The sequence below is a fragment of the Homo sapiens genome, chromosome 4, assembly GCF_000001405.40.
Source record: "Homo sapiens chromosome 4, GRCh38.p14 Primary Assembly".
Lineage (NCBI taxonomy): Eukaryota > Metazoa > Chordata > Mammalia > Primates > Hominidae > Homo > Homo sapiens.
Window position 1 is genome coordinate 157,069,345 of NC_000004.12, and position 18,960 is coordinate 157,088,304.

Here is an 18,960-nt window from a genome sequence, read left to right on the forward strand (position 1 = left end):
TGAGAGCTTGCTCGGTGAGCCTAATTTTTCTTTCATTCTTTTTTTTTTTCTTTTGAGACAGGATCTCACTCTGTTGCCTTGGCTGGAGTGCAGTGGCATGATTTCAGCTTATTGCAACCTCAACCTCCCGAGCTCAGGAGATCCTCCTACATCAGCCTCCTGAATAGCTCGGACCACGTGTGCACACCACCGTGCCTGGCTAAATTTTGTATGTTTTGTAGAGATGGGTTTTGCCATGTTGCCCAGGCATGTCTTGAACTCCTGGACTCAAGCGATCCACTCACCTTCGCTAGGGTTACAGGCATGAGCCACTGGGCCTGGCACAGGGAAGCTATTTTTAAAGTCTTATTTAAAAACTTTAATAATTTGATAAATGCAATGGTTTTCTTTCTATAGCTAATTTGTACTATTTGTATGACTGTTGCCTATTCACTTGCTTATTCTAATAAAGTTGCTAAAGTAGAGTGCTGGTTCTTGTTCATCTTATCTCATACCATATATATAAAAATTATAAATGGATTTTACTGGTATGGTTAATATAAAACATTTCCCATGAGGCCAGATTTAGAATTCATAATCTGCATGTTTGGAGCTTTCAGTTGAACTGTCTTGGTATGAGAAAATCTGGAAGAATAAATTCTTTACATGATCCTCATGTAATGCTTCTGCAATATTAACTGTTTACCTAGGTCTTAAAGGAAGGAGAAAACAAAAAAAAATCAAGATTGACATTATTGACAAGCTTCTAAAAGGCAGATTTTTGGATTGCTTATTAAACTGAGATTACATATCTATTTTAGATTCCAGGGGAAGAGGACATGTTGTCACGAACACTTAGGACTTGAAATCCTGGCTTGTGGAGGATAGCATGACCTCTTCTCAGATCTGCAAAAATGCTGATGGGCAGATTCAAAAGAGTCAACAATAACTTCGCTCTGACTTGGTAAAAACTGCTTTTGGAAGAGATTCTGTTTGGGAAATTTGTGGGCCTGAGTTACCAGTCATCTGTTCCTGCCACAATAACTGTCATCATTGCTTCGAAGCAATGTTTGGCTTGGAGCAGTCCCGAATGAGCTGCCTATCACATGTTGACCACAAAATAAGAAGAATAAATAACTGGCACAAACTGATCTGTGGTTGACAGTTGCTTGGTAATACCTACTTGGATGTAAAGAATTTTGGCCAAAATTCATGATTCTGTATTATGAATATTGACACTGCCTTAATAATAGAACTCTGAATAACAATAGATTTATTTGTTTTTAAGACATATTCTTGAAATACACTAATAATAACATGTCATTTTCATACAGGAAGGTGTTTTTACTTTTTGCTAAGGACTTAGGATATATGTCTAATTTATCTAAAAAGCTGTGTCATAGCAGTGAATACTTTGACAATGCATTACACTCTTGATATCTGTTTTAAGTCCACACACATCAAGGCACACATGGTTCTTCCCCATGGGGGTAAGCACTGTTGGCAGATTGGTAGATACTAACGTGGGCTACTTAATTGTTCTGGACTGTTTCCTCAATTAAATGAAAGACAGTGTGACACTCAAATTTGTAAATAGAAATATATTATCCACATTTCTTCTCTCTTCTCATATCATCACAATTAGTGTGGTATTTTGGTTGAATAGTATTGTCATTCTGTGTATCATAAGACGTTATTGAATATACAATTTAGAGTCACACAAAAATATTTTAAGGGCCAGCTTCCAGAATCAGACATATTTAGATACATATCTCTCTCAATCACTTACTAGTAAACTGACTTCGGAAAAATTATATGATGCCTGGGGATCTTTATCTGTAAATTGCAACAAGAAAAGTATTAACCTCATAAAGGTATTGAGGAGATAATAAATTCAAAGTACTTTGCTGTCAATCAATGACGATGGTCATTACTATTTTTGCTATTATTAATATGATGAACAGAAAAAATATTAAGTAAAAAATGACTCACATATTAGTTCATCTTTAAGGCCAAAATATTAAGTAAAAAATGACTCACATATTAGTTCATCTTTAAGGCCAATCTGGAATTGGAGGTAAGAACAACCCCTTTGATTTCAATTTTTTAATTTGCATTCAGTATTCTGTACAAAGACATCTACGACTAAAAACTAAGCTTCTTTCACTTGCCTATGTGCAATTGGAGTCAGTCTTAATGTTGTAAAGGACATGAAAGATGAAATAATCCTATCTCTTCCTCTTCCAAGTCTAATATTCCGGATAAGTTAAATTCCCTTTCTGAGCCTCTCCTCTGGTTTCTCATCAAAAATATGGATATGAAAATAACTTGCAAGTAAATTTTGAAGTTTTAAAACCATAATGTAGAAAATTTTTTTGCAATTAATAGGTAATCAATGAAAGATGGCTATTATTGTTTAAAAGTTAGTTTAAAAATAAGAGATTGCAGAACATTTTAAGGATAATGTGCTATTTGAAGAAAACATATGGAAGTGATTTTATCAAATATCAAATAATGTTTTTATTATTCTAATAAGACTGGCTACAAATCAACATTTCCTAATGTAAGTTTTACTGTCTTTCAAGTTTTATGAACAGTGTTTGCAAGATGCTGAATTACTGTCCCACTATTCTCATCATCTTCTGCTGTAATTTTCTCTTTATTTATATTTATTCTCCCATTATCTATTTTGATAAATGTTTAAAGATGATGATTTGGAGGAGAACCATATCTAAAACAGCTGGACATACTTTTATTGAAAATATCTGATCATTATAGTGGTAAATGGACTGAAAGTTTGATGAAAAATTTCATGAATGACTATTACAGTGCAGGCTGTCATTAAAGAGGAAGTATGACTCATGTAGAGAGAATACAGAAAAAAATAATTTATATCTTTAAACCATGTTGTAAGGCTATTTAGGCAATGGCAACAGTGATGAGTACTTATGTCACACACAAAAAATGATTTGGTGAGAATACTCTCTCTGTATCCAAAGTTTGATTTCTTAGTATAACAGAAGATATTTAGGGCTGTATTTAGGTTTTATTATCAAGTCAAATAAAATAAATATATTATAGGCCAGGTGAAGATGGATGCATAGAAAATAGAGTCCTTAGCTACCCAGGAGTCTGAGGTAGGAAGTTTGCTTGAGCATGAGAGGAGGAGGTTGCAGTGAATCAAGATCATGCCACTGTACTCCAACCGGGGCGACAGAGCCAGACCCTGTTTCAAAAAGAAAAAAAAAAAGAAAAAAGAAAGAAAAGAAGGTTAGAAGGTTTTTAGTGTTTAGATGTAGGCCTACAAAATGTTCTCAGTGTAGACGTACAAGAAAGAAATGGATAACAGGGTCCCAGTAAGCAAAAAATGCATGTACCCACAAAAATTAAAAATAATTAAAAAAAAAACAGCCACAACAAAATTCTATCATTCCATTAAGCAAATAAAAACAAGCAAAAATAGGGGAGGTTAATTCTTTGTGACTTTTCTTCTCTGCAGCAGATTTTTAACGTCAATTAACCTGTTTATTTCTTGGTACAATCCTGCAAATTATGCATTGTCATTTTCATTTTACTAATAAAGAAACATGAAATTTGAAGAAATTAATAAATGAGGCCAAGATTTACACATTCATTCAACACTATTCTAGGTGTGTGGGCAACATCAATGGACAAAAATAGATACAAATCTCTGCCTTCATGAAGCCTACATTTTAGCAAGGAAACAGAGGCCACAAACTGTAAGTATATTGTATGATGAGTTGGGAGGTAATAAGTACTATGAAAACAAAAAGAAAAGCAGGCAAAGGGGGATTGGAAATCTTTGGATGGGAGATGGTTTGCACTTTTAAATAACATTGGATAAATCTCTGTGAGACGGTGACATCTGGGTTGATGTTGAAGATATGAGGGAGTCAGTCATGTGGTGGTCTGGGGGGAAAGCATTTTAGACAGAGGAGCCAATAACCTAAGATGGGACCATACCTGGCTTTGGCATGTTGGAGAAGCAGCAAGATCAGCAGGGCTGAAAGAGAGCGAGCCATTAGGAGAGAAGAAGTCAGAGTTAGGGGGAGGAGATGCATAACAATTGAAGGTTTGTAGACCATTGTAAACACTGGTTTATAAAATGGGGACTAACTGCTGGGTGTTGAGTTGAGGAATGACACAATATGACCTATGACATGTTTTAAAGGGATCACTCTGGCTACTGTTTTGAGATTACTCAAGGGTAGGAGAGGACAATGATAGAGGCAGGGTGAGTAGCTAAAGTGCTATTATAGTAATCTAACGTAGAGATGAAAGTCACTGAGTCTAGGTTGGCTGCAGTAAAAATCATAAGAAGTAGCTGAATTCCTGTTGTCATTTGAGAGTAAACAGGATTTCCTCAGAGATTTGGTTGTGAGGTGTGAGAAAAAGAGCGGAATCAAGAACAACTTCATGATTTTTAGCCTGACCAACCCTAAGGATGAGGTTGCCGTGAACTGAGAAGGAGAAGGCTGAATGTGGGGCAGATTTTAGGGAGAACCATAGCTCAGTTTGGGACACACTGAGTTTGACATGTTTATTAAATACGCAAGTTGAAATGTTGAAAAGGCAGTTAGATAGATGAGTCTGGAGTTCTGGAGAGATGTCTAGTCAGGAGAAGTACATATGGGAGCTATCAACATGGTGTTTAAAACCTTGTGACCAGATGAAATTACTAAAGGAGTGAATATTGATAGAAATAAATAGAGAAAAGTAGATCAACACTTGACAGAATTGGGGAAAATAGGTTATTTCATGACATTATTTAGAAGCATCCCTTTTCACACTATGATATAAAAGTTATAGAAATATAGGTAAGCAGATCACTTTCATAGAAAAAAATTTTCAGAATTCTGAACTTGACCATTTTACAGGCTAGAAGAAGTGCTTTTAGGGCATCAACTATATTTCTTAACCTTTGGGCCAAAACCCTACAAACCCATCCAACCTGCTGGACTTGCTTTTCTTCTGAATAACCTAATTCTCCAATATAACATCCATGGATGGCACAGAAACAATACTAGGGAAGGTGAGCAAGTCTGTTGTAGGTATTTTCAGCATAGTTCTTCCAAATGTGGACATTAGAGTTTGTAAATAAAAGATGTTCATTTTATTACAGGAATCGGAATTCCTATTATTCTAAACTCTTAATAATTTCTTGATTAATTGAAAACTAAGTGTAAGGTTTTCGCCAACTTCTAAACTCCCCTGGCTGCATGAAAACTAATTCCTTTATCATTCTTCATATGACCTATTCACCAAAAGTTATATCTTATGAAACGTATATTATCAATATAGTTCTCTCTAATAAAGCATTAAAATCCAAAGTTATATCCTGATCCACTTTGGCGGGGGGGTCTTCAAACAGTACAGCTCTTTGAATAATGATCATTTTGTAATGTAAATAAGGTAATGATCACTTATTAATGATCACTACTCTTAGGCAGCAGAATATCTCATGAAGCTTATGGAACACGGTTATATGCAGGAAATATTCCTTCCCTCCATATGCTGCGGGTGGAAAAATTTATTAGTGGATACATCTGTGGGTCCACAATACAATGCTAAGTGATGCTCACTTGAGACAATGCTTTTTTAATAAAAAAAATCCATCAGGACCTGGTGCAGTGGGGTGGGGTGGCTCAAGCCTGTAAGCCCCCCAGCTTGGGAGGCTAAGGCAGGCGGATGGCTTCAGGCCAGAGTTGGAGACCATCCTGGACAACAAAGCCAGAGATGCTGTCTCTTAAAAAATAATAATAATAATTAGTGGAGCGCAATGGCCTGTCTGTTGTTCCAGCTACTCTACTAGGGAGACCGAGACAAGAGGATCTCTTGATTGCCCAGAAGTTCAAGACTGCGGTGAGCGATGACTGTGCCTCTGCACTCCAGCCTGGGCAACAAAGTGAGCTCCTGTTGCTTAAAAAATAACAATTAAAAAAAATCAATCAGGCATACATTCAAGAGGTAATAGGATAGCCTTATCTGTTATCTAAGGGCTGCATATCCAAGTAAGGGCTACTTCTTCACAAGGATGAGGACAACAGTATTTTGCTCTTATAAGGCAGAGACCCTGTCTGGTTCAGATATGCAAAAATCACTAATTTTGAATCTCTGGTAAATTTCTTTCAAGATCTGTAACTCTAAGTAAATCTCTTAATATAACTGAGTTTCAGATTCTTCATCTACAGAAGGGGATGACAAAACTTGCCCAGGAATGTGGTGAGGGCCACATGAGATAAGGCGAGTGAAAGGTGTTTTGCAACTGTCAAGTTCTGTACACATGTTAATTATGTAACAGATGTTAAACATAGTATTACCTGTATGACTATATTGTCAGTAATTTTGACCAATTTAAGCTTGCTCAGAAAGTTCAGGCTTTTAGAAATTGGAAGACCCGGAGATTAAGCTGGATGTCTGGGTTCCAGGCAAATGGTGAAATGACAGAAAATGTGTTTTGTTCGCTTTGACCCAAGAAGGTCATTTGTTGCTCTGTTGTTTGTTGCTAGTGGTCAAAAGCTGACCCCAAGCAATCCCAGCTCCTTGAAAGGTTTTTTCTTTTTGTACCGACACTATCATTCCCGCCCTTCGTCCCCAACTCCTTTAGTCCCCTAAGGAGTGAGGGGGGTACACATTTCTGCTCGGTAACCCCTCCAATGCCTGAAGGGGACGATGCCGTGACGTTGCTCTGTCGGGACACCTCTTCCCTCCCCCGCCCGCGGTCGCCAGGTTCCCCCGCGGCCCGCGCTGTCCCCGCTGCGGCCCCGACCGCGGCGCGCCACGGCGCAGGCTCCGCGGCCCGAGCAGGCGCGTCAGCCGAGCTCGGCGGTGGCGCGGGCGGCTGGGACGCAGCTGCCCCCGCTCGGCGCCCGCTGCACCCTTAGCAGCCACTGCCACCTGGGCCCGGAGCCTCCACGATCTCGCCCGGCGATTGTGGGCAGGGGCGCCTCCGGGTAAGTGCCAGGAGCTCCACTTAGGAGGAGGGGACGCGGGTTGGGGCGGCGACGGTGGTCTGAGGACGGGAATAGACGCCTTTGCGGAAACAGCGGGTCAAGCCCGGGGCGGCGGAGCGCGAGGAGCACTGCGGCGTGCCCGGGAGGACGCGCGCTGCCCTGCGCGGGAGAGGGGCGCGGGGCGCCTGGCAGCGGCAGCCGGGTCCCCGCTGCGGTGGCGCCCGCGGAGACGCTCCGGGTGGAGAGATGCAGAGGGCCGGGGTAATTAGGAAACGCAAGGTTGGCCAGGAGGGCTCCTTGCGTTGTTTTGTTTATGAGGATCCTCCAGTCAATGCAGCTGTCCCCCTTGAAAGATTGGGGGTGAGGACAGAGCAGAGTGGTGAATTTCTCTGTTTTTCGAAGCGTTAGGGGGGCTCGGCCCTCCTTTTTGCGGGGGCAAGGATGTGAAAGTGGGAGAAGTACCTGCTGCTGTGGGCAAGGTGTCTGGAAGCAGGTGCCGCTGTCGGATGGGGGAAGGGAGCGTCCAATGTTGTGAAGTTGCCAGAGGAGAACCTTGTGTTGTTGCTGTTGGTCTGATGAGCCCCCTCTGTTGTCTTCAATTTAAAGTACCCAGGGAGAAGCCCCTCTGGCTTGCCTGGAGTGTGTGTAAAAGATAAATATGGGGGGAAGAATCCTGGGGGGGGGGGGGGAAGATGAAAAACATGACATAAGGAGAAGCAAATTTCTGAGGGTGAGATGGGAATTAAGTTAGCGTTGAAGAATATGACAGGTCTTTTACTCTGCGGAAAACAATGAAAGAGAAACAATTTATGGTTTGGAAATGAAGGTTGCAGAAGAGTTTGAACTTCTCTAGTGTAGGTAGAGGCTTAATTATTTTTTATTTATCAGAATCTCTGGCAAGAATATGGTTCTGATTTGAGCATGAAAATGTTATTAAAATATGGCTAGGACGATAATTTGAAAAAAATGTAACAACACTTGTTTTATTTCTTGTTGTAGAATTTCTGAAGTAATCTTTTTGATGACAAATGTTAGTAGCAAATAAGTAAGAAAGCTTTAAAGCTAACTTAAGAGGCACCTTTTTGGGGCAAAAAGGTAGCTTGCCAATGTAATGTGTTTAAATAAAAAAAGCAATGAATTTTGAATGTGGAACTCTTTGATATTAACTTTTTCTTTTATCTGTCTTTTTTAATACTTAGAATTTCTTTTTCTTTAAAATACATTATTTTTGAAAAAATATACATAAGAACTTCAAACAATATAAAAATTTAAAAAGAAAAAGATACTTCCAAAGTACTAGCCGAAGATAATCATTTTAACGCTGTGTTAAACCATGCTTCCAGATATCTTTCTGAACATATTTTTGATATACTGTGCAATTCAATATCAATTTATAATTTTGTGTAGCTATAGAATCAGAAATTTTATACAGTAACCTATTATATCTCGTTGGCGGTCTTGTTTTCTATGTGCCATTATTTAAACTGACTTTTACTGCTATATAAAAAAGACTTTACAACTACTATATAAAAAATACTAAATATGTTGTGAAGTATTACCACATAGGACTGAGCAATGAGGATTTGATGTACAAATGTACTTGCCCTTTGGGTAGTAATGCTTATACTCTTTAAAGGGACAGTCATATAGTTATCATTTTCTTCATAAATGTAAACATTTTCTTGTTCTCTCTTGTAGATCGATCTTCTGAAATTCAAGTTTTCAAGATGAAGTTTTTATTGACAACTGCCTTTTTAATTTTAATTTCCTTGTGGGTGGAAGAAGCCTATTCTAAGGAAAAGTCTTCAAAGAAAGGGAAGGGGAAAAAGAAGCAGTATCTATGCCCATCGTATGTTCTTCATGTCTTATATTCTTATATGGAGAAATGTTATTGCGTGTTTTATAAAAGTAAGGTGGTTTATGAAGACACACATCAACAAAACTTTTCATATCGGAATGTATATCCATCTGTTACAGAGACAGAAAATGATAGGGTGAGGAGAGGTTTAGAATGTAAGAATTAATTCCCAATGTTCAAGGTGGTTTTATAGTTTTCTTTTTTTAAATCATGCCATGGGTTTATATAATTTTTATACACTGTTTACAAAAGTAGAAAAAGTCACTATTTTTTTCTTATGCTAAATGTGCTGTGCAACTTTAATTGGATACTGATATACTGTGTTTTGAGCAAATACCAGTTCAAAAAGTTTTTTTTTAAAAAAACCCTAAAATATTTAATAATATTTTATTTAAAAGTCAGATAGGTAACTGTGATCTTAAGGTCAGTTCATATGTATGCATGGCAAAAGGAAATTCATATGATAGATCAATTTTCTAATTTAGTAATTGTAAATAGGTTATATTAGGAGATTAGGATATTTTGTAGAAAGCAGGTCATTAAATTTGAAATTACTTGAAAACACAAATTCTAAATCCAACACATCCCCCACAAAAGACAAAGTTTTGTGGTGTGGAGTCTTGTTTATTTTTTTTAGATGAAGTCTCTTTCTGTCACCCAGGCTGGAGTGCAGTGGCACAATTATCTACTCACTGCAACCTCTACCTCCCGGGTTCAAGCAATTCTCCTGCCTCAGCCTCCCAAGTAGCTGGGATTACAGGTGCCCACCACCACGCCCAGCTAATTTTTGTATTTTTTAGTAGAGACAGGATTTCACCATGTTGACCTGTCTGGTCTCCAACTCCTGACCCTGGGTGATCTGCTCGCCTTGGCATCCCAAAGTGCTGGGATTACAGGCGTGGTTCACCGCACCTGGCCAAGTCTTTTTTTTAATAGGAAAGATTAACATTACTGGTCAATGAAAGTAAAATAGAGCAATTGTACAGTATATAAGTAAACAACTTTCTCAAAATATAACGTGCTTTTAGGTAATAATGCAATATATGCAGTGATTTGGAATAAAAGTTAATTTTCTATTACAGGTCATCTTCAATTAATATTTCTCAAATGTAATATTGATCATAGATAACATTTTATTCCAGCATCATTATTATTTAAATAGAGATTATTATGGTTTTACAGATGTTCCATAAGAGATGAGGTACATTTTGGGAAGTATATTTTGTAAAGAAAGGACACTAGAATTGGTATTTTGTAATAGGTGTTTGTATGAATTTGTGAGAGTAAAATTCTGGAGAGAGTATCATGATCCACGTAATGTCTAGCATTAAATTCAGCTCCATGTGAAGGGATATTTCCTGATTTTCACCCTTAATAGTCCTGCTTATTCTAGTGCTGCAGCATATTCTGATGTCAGGGCCAAATTTCTGGGTATATGACACAATGGCCCTGAATTATGTTTGTGTGTCCCTCCTTGGCCATCTGCCCAGCTGGATATCAGCTGGGAACAATGGAGGCAGGTTCAGGAATAACCACAATCTACAACCATCTCAACTCTTCACTGTTACTGTTTTTGTGCCACAAGCTGGAGATTAGCATTTTAGGGAACTGGACATTGTCAGGCCTTAGTATTCCTAAGCGAAAGGACACTTCTTTGTGTTTTAGATATTCTTTCTATTACCTTTTCTTTGATGAATGTTGGGACATTAACACAAACTGTTGTCTATGTCATATAGTCACCGTAATTCTATGTATGGAATCAAGCCATCTTGGGTTTCTGTATCTGAGCAAGCTGATAAGGCTCCTGTTCTCCCAGTACACCCACCCCCCATCCTACATCAAATGTCATAATCAAATTATTCTGAAGATGGCAACAGCAAATCTTATAACTACCATATATATTACGAGAGTATTTTAGAGGACATTCTCTTTTCACAACTACATTATTAAATAGCCTTATGTGTAGACTGTATATACTTACGGTGTGTATAGTTATTTAAGACAGATTTTCAAAGTTAAATTTAGTAGATAAAGAGTATAACAATAAGAGTTCTCTTCTGATGAATATGACATCTTCAAGTGGAAGACCCAACATATACCTGTTAAGCCCACATCTCAATATTTTAGATATGTTGAGTAATTAATTGAAATTTTATCTTTGAATTTTTACATTATAGGTTTTTTAAAAATAATTATGAGACTAGATCAAGCTTTATTAACAGTTGTGATGTGATGCTGCTGGAAGTCTGGCTTGTTAAAAAGTGGATGTACCTTGGAGAGTTAGAGTTGTATATTTTTCATTTGAGCATTTTATTAAGAATTCTGATTGTCACTGAATTAAGAACTTTAGAAGACTAGGGTTGTCCCTGACTGTGATTGGATCTATCATATCAAATTTATTTCAGATGCCTTGATTAAGAATTTGAGCTATAATAAGGGGCTGTGAAAGAATATGCAAATTGTATGTATCTCAGAGAATGATCCAGTTTGCTTAGCCTGTGTAAGTTGCTTATTTATTAAACATCTTGACTAAGAGGAATATTGAAAATTACAAAACCCAGAAATCAAGTACAGACTACCCTAATACTCCTCAGGATGGTAAAATTCTTGCCCAGTGATGTTTTCATTTGTTTATACTTTTTTTTTTTTGAGTAGAGTGGATGAAGCAATGTGGGTGCATAGACATAAGCAGTTCATGTGCAGCAATCCAGAGTGAAATCTTCCAGTTTTACTGTTATAACAACATTTCCCCTCAAGACTGTAAATAGAGGAAACATGTTTTAAAATGTAGGAGAAATAAAGGACTTGAGTTCCTTGATATTCTAGGATTTAATATTGATGCTGAGCTTGAGTCAGATCATAAACTTTTCTTGGCCTCTTTGCTGTTTCTTTTTTCTAACCTGTTGTCTTTTGATATGTAAGTGAAGCACTAGTACCAGATTGACAAAGTATCTGATAAATTTGCTTCCAAAAACTTAGAAATTTAATATGTGTTAACAAATAAGAAATACACTTTAAATTAATAAAAATATTTTAGGTAAGTCCTTGGACAGTTACCTTTTTATTTTACAGCTTACATTTGACATTGCCTTTAATCTTTTGGTCTTTCCTCTGATTTTTCATTCTACCTGAGTGATTTTGTAGAAATCCATGGTTGTAGTTACCATCTACTCACTGTTAACTCCTAAGTCTTTATGTACAGCTCAGATCTCTCTAAAGAGTGCCACACCCATACATCCACCATTTCAACTTGACCGTCCCGTCATGAAACTCAAATTTAACTTGAAATGATAAAACCTGAACTCAGAATCATGTGAATAATACAATGAATAATCACTGTATTAAGAGTGGTGAACTCCTCTTCTCACCAGATGACACCATTTCCACCTTTTCATTCATACTACAATCCTGGGGATCACCTTAGACCATCTCTTTCTACCTTAGCTTCTCAAATTCAGTAGTCACCAGAACTCATCAATTACTATCACTGGAATACGTCTTACGTTTTCATTCCCATGTGGGACATTGCCTTAGCTACTCCTTCCCACCCTCTTCATTGACTCCTTTTCAGTTTTCCTGCATCTTATCCTCCTCCATTAATTTATATGCCACATTGACCTTACCGTGTATTTTCCCAATAGTGTCTTGAGTCCAGTCAGGTCATGTCAATATTGAGAACACTTTAAAGGACACCATAGTGTTCTGGATAAGGTGGAAATTTCTTGGCTCCACACACAAGGTTCCTGATGAACTAGCCTCTGATACCTCCAGCAGTATCTTCCCCATCCCGACCCCTGCCTCTGCCTAAGCCTCACACGCATCAACTCTCATATACCCGTGCTCTTTCACATCTCTGCAAGTGTTCTTCCCTTTCCCTGAAATGCCAATGTTTTTCTTCTTTTTAGTTAGCCTGTGTCCATGGGTCTCATCCAAATTCATGGCTGTAACTACCACTTACTGTTGATTTCTATGTCTGTGTATACAGCCCGTACCTCTTTGAAGAGCACCACACCCATACATCCAACATTTTAATCTGATTGTTTCATAATGACCTCAAACTTAACTCAGACTCAAACCCTATTGTCTTCTTTGGGAAACCTTTCCTAATCCTGAGGATTTAGATAATCACATTCTGTGCCCCCACAGTTCCCCAATTGCCACTCATACATAATACAGTATGATAATTATCTATTGTAATTGTCTGCTTTCCCCACTAGATTGTAAGCTCCATGAGAGCAGTGTCTTCATTACCTTAATCACCAGCAAGCAACATAGCTCCTGGCACAAAATATACATATAATAAAAATTTATTTAATGAAGTGAATAAAAACCTAAAGATCTTTGACTATCTCTTATTAAGTCATTACATCTGGATTTTGTTAAGTTACCTGAAATTGACTGATATGATCCCTGTGGAAAATTTAGAAATATGGTCTCAATATAAGGATACCTAGGTGAGTTAGCAGCTAGGTAATTAGTGGAATACCTTCACCCTGGATTATGTTACCTGGTTCCGTTTTGGCCTCATCATAGTCAATTATTTGTCAATGACTGAAATAAAACTACACAGAGAAAAAATCCACACTGAGGCTCTGTGATATTCAGATATGTAGTGAATATGTGAGACAGAATTAGGATCCGATCTGATCTTGAAGGGCTAAATGAGATAGGTCTAACACTGTTGAAGAATAAATTGCACTTTGGTCTAGAAGCCACTTGGGTAAGTATAGGATGAGGAAGAACATAGCTTAGCAGAGCACATTTGGGAAAAATATTACATAATAATTATCAGACAAATGAATAGTGTTTTATATATATATATATATATATATATACACACATACTTACAATTTAGTATTTTAAGAAAGACATTCTTAAAATTAACACATTCTTAACATAAAATTAGTAAAATAAGAACTATTTTAATAGTAAAACTATTTTGCTAATTTTATGTTAAGCGTATTACTTTTTAGAACTATTTAAAGCAAGGTTTACAGAGATTTCTGCTCTGTGCTAGTGCAGAAATATTTGCAGGAGAGAGAAATAAGAATAGTAGAAGTAATTAAAATCATATCATATTAGGAAGAGCTGAAGGAACTGAGATACTTGAAAATTGTCTCCAAAGTTTTAAAAAACTGTGATGGTGATGAGAAAGTAGACTTTGTTGCTTGGCACCAATAATTAAAAGCAGTACTAATGTATAGAAGCTACGGGGAGGGATATTTTTGGCTCCAAGTTAAGAACTTTTTTGAGTTCTGCCTAGATGTAATTGATTAGGGAGGGAGGTAGTGAAGTTCATGATAAGTGGAGGTACGCAGGCACGTGGGATAATTACTTGGTGGGCATATTTTAGAGAAAGGTTGAGCATTACACAGGCGGTTAGACCAGAGACTGATATAATGTGATTTCAACTTGTGCAATTTTTAAGATTCAGTGGTTCTAATACATTGTGTTTGATTACAGCTTTATCATTATCTAATAGCAAAGTAACCCACAGAGAATTATGTTTTAAAAATTTTATCTTGATCTGTTTATTTAAGTATGTCTTTATTTTAGGGGAATTGACTTAGAAAGCTCTAGTACATAAGATAAATGTATGTTGGTGGTGTGTTAATAATAAGGATTTTAAAATCTTATTTTTAAGGTTTGAAATTTCATGAATAATGTTTTTTAAAACACTTCTTTCAAACCCAGAAAAACTTTTCTCTTTTCTGACCTTAGGTGTAATAGTAAGAAGAAATATGTCAAGCTACTATAATTTTCAAGAAATAATGATCAGGATAACAAATGAACAGGATAACAAATATAATGATCTAATAAATGCCTGCCATAATTTATAAGGCATAGTTTTATGGATTTATATTTGTAGGTACATCATATATGAAACTAGAACATCCTAAAATAAACTTTCAGATTTTTTTATTGAATAACAGTAATTAAAAAACCAGAACTCCCTCAATTAAAAATAAAACTGAATATTGTTTGCCATTTCTATTTTTGCTCATAGCCGACATAATAAGCACTTTTTAATAGTGAATTTGGCCAAGCTATACAACTCCTTGTCACATACTACATATTTTTGCCACTACCGTTAGAGAAACTTCTATCTTTTGTTGAAGACTGTTTGAGTTTCAAACATTTAATAGCTTACAGTAAGTGAAACTAATATGTTTGAAAGTTGCATTGGAAATCTCACCTCTTTTCTCCCATTTTGGCCCATACTTGTATCTTAGGTCTGGGAAGCTTAATAACAAGTCCTTAAGTGTTGAGGGCTGCTATTATTTACAGTAGTGTTAGCATTTATTATCCTACCTTCTAAATTATCTTTCCTTCAAGCTGTTGGAACTCTAGCTTTAAAATAATTACATAAATAACTTTTAATTTTTATTCTCGTTCTGTGTGTGTGTTGAGAAAATGTGATTTCTTTGTTAGTTTTTTCATAAACTAAAAATTGTGTGTGCATATGTAAATGGTTTGATGCCGTTATGATTTTTTTTGTCTCCTTCAGAGAGAGATTGTACCATTGAATGACAGCATTTTCATACTTCAGTCTGTATGTACTAAGAAGGGTAGGTTACTGTTGATTATTCATTGATTATTCAATGCCACTATATGCTGCTTGGGTATTATATTAGCCATCTTCCTATTCTGACTGTTTTGTCTCCTTTATCTTCTATTCATTAAGAGATGAAATAGATTTTAGTATAATTCCAGTTTCTTACTTCCTAGTGGAAATATTCGAGACAAAGACATTGGCCAAAAGATGAAAGGCTGATTGGAAAAGGATATGGATAATCTATAAAATGGATACTATTGAAAATTGCCTGTTATCACTGTTACATATCTAGATTGAATTTTTCACTGATGTTTAGTTATGTATTTTCTTATTACTTATTGAACAATTTTAATGGCATGCTGTTATTTTGCAATCAATTGAATTGATCTTCTTTTTCCAAAAGGAAATCAGCATCCTTATTATTCCAGTTACCTAGGCATGAGCTTAAATGGAACCTAACATTCTCTTAAAATGATCTCCTATATCTGCCATGTTCAATTTTTTTTTCACTACATCTGCTCTTACCATTATTTTATTTTCCTCTTTGGAGACAGGATCTAATTCTGTCATCCAGGCTGGAGTGTGGTGTTGTGATCATAGCTAACTGCCGCCTCCAACTCTTGGCCTCCAGCAATCCTCCTGCCTTGGCCTCCTAAAGTACAGAGATTCCAGGCATGAGCCACCATGCCCAGCCACCATTATTTTTAACGTATGTGTTACTATATCTTCCTAGTTATTCACCCTAGCTTTTCTATCATTATTATCCATCTTAACATGCCATCTGTATTTTCATCTTTTTTTTGGAGATGGAATCTCACTCTGTTAGCCAGGCTGGAGTGCAATGGCATGATCTCGCCTCACTGCAACCTCCGCCTCCTGGGTTCAAGTGATTCTCCTGCCTCAGCCTCCCGAGTAGCTGGGACTACAGGTGCGTGCCACCACACCCTGCCAATTTTTTTGTGTTTTCAGTAGAGATGGGGTTTCACTGTGTTAGCCAGGATGGTCTCGATCTCCTGACCTCGTGATCCACCCACCTCGGCCTCCCAAAGTGTTGGAATTACAGGCGTGAGCCACCGTGCCTGGCCTGTATTTTCATGTTGTTATTCTTATGTTTAAAAACTTACAATATCGTACTACCAGATGGTTCTTGAACTCCAGTACATACTTCTTACCTTGATTTTCAAGGGGCTCCCTAACTTATATTTCTAAATTTATGTGAAACAACTCTCTTATATTATGTGTGTAGGTATGTATATATGAATGTATGTTTTTAGAGACAGGATCTTACTCTGTTGCCCAGGCTGGAGTTCAGTGGTGTGATCATAGCTCATTGCAACCTCAAACTCCTGGTGTCAAGTGGTCCTCCCGCCTTGTTCTCCCAAAGACTTCGCGTTACAGGTATCAGCCATACCCAAGCCTACTCGCCTATTTTGGGAAGGCTTATCTGCCGTTGTTCCTAATCTTCCCTTGCTATTATGTATGCTTGGACATGTTTATGTTTGGAATGACAACTTCTTGCTTAATATATCTAGGCTTTACTAGTCCCTCAGAGCTCATCTTAGATATTACTTTGCTTTATAAAACATTTAAAATAAGTTTTAGTTGAGAATATGATTAATCTGAATTAATAGTGGTGTGGCTTACTAATGCTTTGATGTCTTGGATATTGATAGAAATACAATGTTTAGAAATAAAAAAGTATTAATCTCATGGTGAGTATATTACCTGAAGCATTATGTTGAATTCTGGTTGCCATAATTTATGAGAGTTAGAATTACATGTGAGTTTGTTTGGAGAATCTTGATCGGTATTTACACGAATGTGAAAGTCTGTTGTGTTGTTCGATTAATTCTATTGTGCATTATTTTCTCTGAAGAATAGAAATTACCTTCTATTTGAGATGTTGTCATATAAAATAACTAGACTTTCTTTGTATGACTCCAAGTTATCGAATTAAGACCAAAGAGAGAAACAGAGGAAGATAAGTTCAATTAAAGGAAAATATAGAACTGTCAAAAGAGAAAATGGGTTTCCTTAGGAGCTTCTTTGTTGCTGGAGTGACTGAACATAGCTTGGGTAGGGACACGACCCAAATAACATCAATGGGAAGTTAAAAGTATTTAGAACTTCTTTTTATGCCCAAGATCTCATGGGCCTATGATTAAAACTGAAATTAAACTCCCTGTTCTTGATATTTCAGAATCCCTTTTGTGCATACTTGATGTTTTGACACTTGATTAGAATTAGTTCTTTATGCAGTGATGTCTTTTATTTTCTAGTTGGACTCTATTGTGTAGTTTTAACTCTCTAACTACATTTTAAGTACTTGAGATGAAATGGTTATATATACTTTTATATCCTGCCCTACTTCAAAATTGTTTGCATAAGAGCTCCATTTATGCTTGCTAGTTCAAAGAAAATTAAATGGATAGCTGATGATATAGACAAATCCTAAATTAATTTTTTGATGGGATAGTGGTTCACTGGGACTGTATTTAGATGTTTAGAGATAAAACATATATTGTTTAAAATTTACTTTGTACGTCTACTAAATCATGATGGCAAAGACCTTGTATAATAAGATAGCAGAAAGAACACCACTGTATCTCCTTTAGCACTTTTGCTAATTGGCTGTATAACTTTCAATAAGTCACTTAATCTATCTGAGTCTCAGTTTTCTCATTTGTATAGTGAAAAGTTTGATCTCAATAATCTCCTAATTTTATTCATTCATTAATTTATGGCAGCCATATCTTTTATGATACAATGCGGTTTTGTTTACGATTGCTTTGGTAACTTTATAATCAGGGTTAACTATTTTAGTGTTTTGTTGGTGCTTTTTGTTCCCCAATTTTTAACCATTCAAGCCTGACCAGTGGAAAAAGAATACACAAAATTCTATTTCTTGGGGAAGTTAACTCCAAAGGAAATCTAATTCCAGAGTTGATTTATCAAAACATAGGTATTTAACTGAACTCCAAAGTAGAAGAGTAAGGTATGAGGAAGGTGAATTGTCTGCATTCTTAGCCTACCAAATTTTCACAGATTAAGGAATTCGACTTACTGAAATGTATCCTTTTTTTTTTCTTGTGGAGGCAAATAATTTCTGTAATACAGTAAAAAAAGGTATATTTGCAAAAGTCTCCTATATTTTCCTTATGCTTCTACCTGAAATAGACATATCATTGCTCTGCTAAAGAGAGCTGAGGTCCCTTTATAAATGAATTCCTTTACCATGGGTATTTTATGGAAGTTTACACTTAGAATTCATGAAGCCAATTATTCAAATTTATGTACATACAAATGGTTCCTCTGAGAAATGATGTAAATATGAAATAATATTTTTAGGGCTCTGATTGGAATAACAGTGAAGCACTTATTAAATTGCTAATAAAATATGTTGGATACCTTGAAACATCTGACATTTATTACTCTTCGTATAAGAAAACAATAGTAGGAGTTTACTGCTCCTGGGCTGATTGCTGAGAATAACCTAATACAAAAGGCTTACCTATTAATGAGTGGATGTGTGGTGTTCTTTATATCATGTTTAACTCTCAGTGATACCATGGGCATGGCTGACAAAATAATCT

The 18,960-nt window shown here is 36.5% G+C and overlaps 1 protein-coding gene across 6 annotated transcripts in view, besides 1 other annotated feature; it reads left to right on the top strand.

Moving 5' to 3' along the window:
• Positions 3,913 to 4,207: a silencer, noted in NCBI's record as "tiled region #1911; K562 Repressive non-DNase unmatched - State 24:Quies". NCBI's record gives its function as "represses a minimal TATA promoter and a strong SV40 promoter by Sharpr-MPRA in K562 cells {active_cell/tissue: K562}" and the evidence as "EXISTENCE:reporter gene assay evidence [ECO:0000049][PMID:27701403]".
• GLRB (glycine receptor beta) overlaps positions 6,806 to 18,960 on the top strand; it is a 95,941-nt gene continuing 83,786 nt past the window's right edge. For 3 of the 6 annotated variants that reach the window (NM_000824.5, NM_001166061.2, XM_047450075.1), the window contains exons 1-2: positions 6,806 to 6,953; positions 8,652 to 8,802. In NM_000824.5, the coding sequence (NP_000815.1) occupies positions 8,681 to 8,802 (122 nt within the window). In that variant the 5' untranslated portion in view covers positions 6,806 to 6,953; positions 8,652 to 8,680. Of the gene's footprint in view, positions 6,954 to 7,058; positions 7,215 to 8,651; positions 8,803 to 15,319; positions 15,381 to 18,960 lie in introns of those variants that run through there. The other 3 variants (NM_001166060.2, XM_017008035.3, NM_001440545.1) reach the window with 2 other exon arrangements.